The 3936-nt window shown below is 51.9% G+C and overlaps 1 long non-coding RNA gene across 2 annotated transcripts in view, besides 1 other annotated feature; it reads right to left on the bottom strand.

Annotated features, from left to right (window-relative positions):
* Window positions 1525-2046: an enhancer, noted in NCBI's record as "NANOG-H3K27ac hESC enhancer chr6:43393233-43393754 (GRCh37/hg19 assembly coordinates)". NCBI's record gives its function as "activates a minimal SCP1, AML or CMV promoter by ChIP-STARR-seq in primed H9 embryonic stem cells {active_cell/tissue: H9 hESC(primed)}" and the evidence as "EXISTENCE:reporter gene assay evidence [ECO:0000049][PMID:30033119]".
* Window positions 1527-3936, bottom strand: part of LOC105375065 (uncharacterized) — a 34842-nt gene continuing 32432 nt past the window's right edge. The window contains exon 6 of one of the 2 annotated variants that reach the window (XR_007059585.1): window positions 1527-2848. This is a non-coding gene — a long non-coding RNA (uncharacterized LOC105375065). The remainder of the gene's footprint in view (window positions 2849-3936) is intronic. The other variant, XR_001744123.2, reaches the window with a different exon arrangement.

The following is a 3936-nucleotide window of genomic DNA, read 5'->3' as shown; positions in this document are numbered from 1 at the left end:
GGTAGCTGCACGCATGTGCACTGCTCTCTGCTTCGGCTGGCCTTTGCACGCAGGCGCGCTGGTGCAGACGCACAGTTGCGTTTTGGTACGCTTTTGTGGCCTGACTTGCGTTAAGGATCCATCCCTCCCTTAGTGCAACGTCATTTATAACCTCTCACGTGGAGTATTCGCTCACAACTGTGTAAGCTTACTAGTTGGCACAAGCATTGCAATCTCCATTTCTTGAAGAGGTGGGGAGCCGGGCACGGTTGCGCGCCTCGGTAGTCCCTGCGCGCCCGTAGTCTCTGCGCGCCGGTAGATCCCAGGAGGATGGCCTGAGCCCAGGAGTTCGAGAACAGTCCAAGCAGCATAGCGAGACCCCAGTCTCAGATAGATAGATGGATGGATGGAAATTCAAACATACCTGCCCCACGGACAAATAATGCCATTTTGGGACACACTGTTTTCCCTTATTATTCTAGGGCTGCATGACCTTGGACAAGTTACCTAACTTTTTTGAGCCTCAACTTTTTTTTGGGGGGGGGACGGAGTCTCGCTCTGTCACCAGGCTGGAGTGCAGTGGCACAATCTCGGTTCACTGCAACCTCCGCCTCCCGGGTTAAAGCGATTCTCCTGCCTCAGCCTCCCGAGTAGCTGGGACTACAGGCGCGCGCAACCACGCCCAGCCAATTTTTTTGTTCGTATTTTTAGTAGAGACGGGGTTTCACCATGTTGGCAAGGATGGTCTCGATCTCCTGACCTCGTGATCCGTCCGCCTTGGCCTTCCGAAGAGCCGGGATTACAGGCGTGAGCCACCACCCCGGCCGAGCCTCAACTTCTTTATTTGTACAACAGGGACAATACCAATACTAAAGTACTGTTGAGAGAGTTGAATAATTAATTTAGAGTGCTTAGGGCAAGTGCTTTGCCTAGGGTAGTCCTCCAATAAATCTTTTAAGGAAGCAGTGGGAAGAACATAACCTTTATAATTATACGGACCTGGGTTTGAATGCTTTTAGCAGAGGGATGTTGGGCAGGTTACTTCTGCATCTTTATTTTATTATGTTTGTCAGGCATGGTGTTGGTATCCGCCTTTACATAGGTGTGTACAGTGCTTGAAGAAGAAAAGCTAAACAAATGACAATTATGGTTATCCCACTTAATCTCAGTAAGAAGCCCCATATCCCTCAACGTCAAGAATTAATTTTCCTATTTTTAAAAACTAAGAGATGTAGGTTTGCATTTCACAATCTTTAGTAATTAATTAACAGAGTCTTGCTACCTGGCCCAGGCTGGTCTTGAACTCCTGGCCTCAGGTGATGCGCTTGCCTTGGCCTCCCAAAGTGCTGGGATTATAGGTGTGAGCCACTGCACCTGGCCAGGCTCCACTTCTAATTCTAATTCACTTGCTGTTTCCATCACATCTGCAGTTACTTCCTCCACTGATGTCTTGAAGGTCCATCCGTGAAGGTTGGAATCAGCTTCTTCCAAACTTCTGTTAATGTTGATATACGTTGTCCTCCTCCCATGAATCCCATGAATCACAGTTTTTTATTTATTTATTTATTTATTTTTATTGATCATTCTTGGGTGTTTCTCGCAGAAGGGGATTTGGCAGGGTCATAAGACAATAGTGGAGGGAAGGTCAGCAGATAAACAAGTGAACAAAGGTCTCTGGTTTTCCTAGGCAGAGGACCCTGCGGCCTTCCGCAGTGTTTGTGTCCCTGGGTACTTGAGATTAGGGAGTGGTGATGACTCTTAACGAGCATGCTGCCATCAAGCATCTGTTTAACAAAGCACTTGCACCGCCCTTAATCCATTTAACCCTCAGCGGACACAGCACATGTTTCAGAGAGCAGGGGGTTGGGGGTAAGGTCATATATTAACAGCATTCCAAGGCAGAAGAATTTTTCTTAGTACAGAACAAAATGGAGTCTCCTATGTCTACTTCTTTCTACACAGACACAGCAACAATCTGATTTCTCTATCTTTTCCCCACATTTCCCCCTTTTCTATTCGACAAAACCACCATCGTCATCATGGCCCGTTCTCAATGAGCTGTTGGGTACACCTCCCAGATGGGGTGGCGGCCGGGCAGAGGGGCTCATCACTTCCCAGAAGGGGCGGCCGGACAGAGGCGCCCCCCACCTCCAGGACAGGGCAGCTGGCCGGGCGGAGGCGCCCCCCCCCACCTCCTGGACGGGGCAGCTAGCCGGGCGGGGGCTGCCCCCCACCTCCCGGACGGGGCAGCTGCCAGGCGGAGACGCTCCTCACTTCCCAGACAGGGCAGCTGCCGGGCGGAGGGGCTCCTCACTTCTCAGACGGGGCGGCTGCTGGGCGGAGGGGCTCCTCACTTCTCAGACGGGGCGGCCGGGCAGAGACGCTCCTCATCTCCCAGACGGGGCGGCGGGGCAGAGGCGCTCCCCACATCTCAGACGATGGGCGGCCGGGCAGAGACGCTCCTCACTTCCTAGACGGGATGGCGGCCAGGCAGAGGCTGCAATCTCGGCACTTTGGGAGGCCAAGGCAGGCGGCTGGGAGGTGGAGGTTGTAGCCAGCCGAGATCACGCCACTGCACTCCAGCCTGGGCAACATTGAGCACTGAGTGAATGAGACTCCGTCTGCATTCCCGGTACCTCGGGAGGCCGAGGCTGGCAGATAACTCACGGTTAGGAGCTGGAGACCAGCCCGGCCAACACAGCGAAACCCCGTCTCCACCAAAAAAAATATGAAAACCAGTCAGGCGTGGCGGCGCGCGCCTGCAATCCCAGGCACTCGGCAGGCTGAGGCAGGAGAATCAGGCAGGGAGGTTGCAGTGAGCCGAGATAGCGGCAGTACAGTCCAGCTTCTGCTCGGCATCAGAGGGAGACTGTGGAAAGAGAGGGAGAGGGAGACCGTGGGGAGAGGGAGAGGGAGACCGTGGGGAGAGGGAGAGGGAGGGGGAGGGGGGAGAGAGAGCGCTTTTTTTTTTAATGGAGGCAGGGTCTCACTATGTTGCTTAAGCTGGTCTCAAACTCCTGGCCTCAAGCCATCCTCCTGCCTCAGCCTCCCAAAGTGCTGGAATTGCAGACATGAGCCAACATGCCTGGCTCACAGATATTCCTAATGGCATCTAGTGTGGTGAATGTTTTCCAGAGGGTTTTAAATTTACTTTGTCCAGATCCATCAGAGGAATCACTGTCTATGACAGCTATAGCCTTATGGAATGTATTTCCTAAATAATACTTGGGCCAAGCACAGTGGCTCACACTTCTAATGCTAGCACTTTGGGAGGCCAAGGTGAGAGGATTGCTTGTGGCCAGAAGTTTGAGACCAGCCTGGGCAACATAGCAAGACCTCATCTCTACAAAAATAAAAATAAAAAATTAGCCGGGCATGGCAGTGCCCACCTGTAGTCACTGCTACTCAGGAGGCTGAGGTGGGAGGATGGGTTGAGCCCAAGAGTTTAAGGTTGCAGTGAACTATGATTGGGCCACTGTACTCTAGCCTGGGCAACAGAGTGAGACCCTGTCTCTAAAATGATACTTGAGGCCAGGCGCAGTGGCTCACGCCTGTAATCCTAGCACTTTGGGAGGCCAAGGCAGGCAGATCACCTGAGGTCAGGAGTTCAAGACCAGCCTTGCCGATATGGGGAAAACCCAGCTCTACTGAAACTACAAAACTTAGCCAGGCATGATGGTGTGTACCTTTAATCCCAGCTACTTGGGAGGCTGAGGCAGGAGAATTGCTTGAACCTGGGAAGCAGAGGTTTCAGGGAGCTGAGACCATGCCACTGCACTCCAGCCTGGGTGACAGAGCAAGACTCCCATCTCAAAATAAATAAATAATAATAATAATAAAATACTCTAAAGTTGAAATTACTCCTTGATCCGTGGACTGCAGAATGGATGTTGTAGTTTTTTTCGTTTCTTTTTTTGTTTGTTTTTGAGATGGAGTCTCACTCTGCTGCCCTGGCTA

This window comes from Homo sapiens, chromosome 6 (genome assembly GCF_000001405.40).
Source record: "Homo sapiens chromosome 6, GRCh38.p14 Primary Assembly".
NCBI lineage: Eukaryota > Metazoa > Chordata > Mammalia > Primates > Hominidae > Homo > Homo sapiens.
Note: the sequence above shows the minus strand (reverse complement) of the source record. Positions and strands in the feature narration are given on the sequence as shown.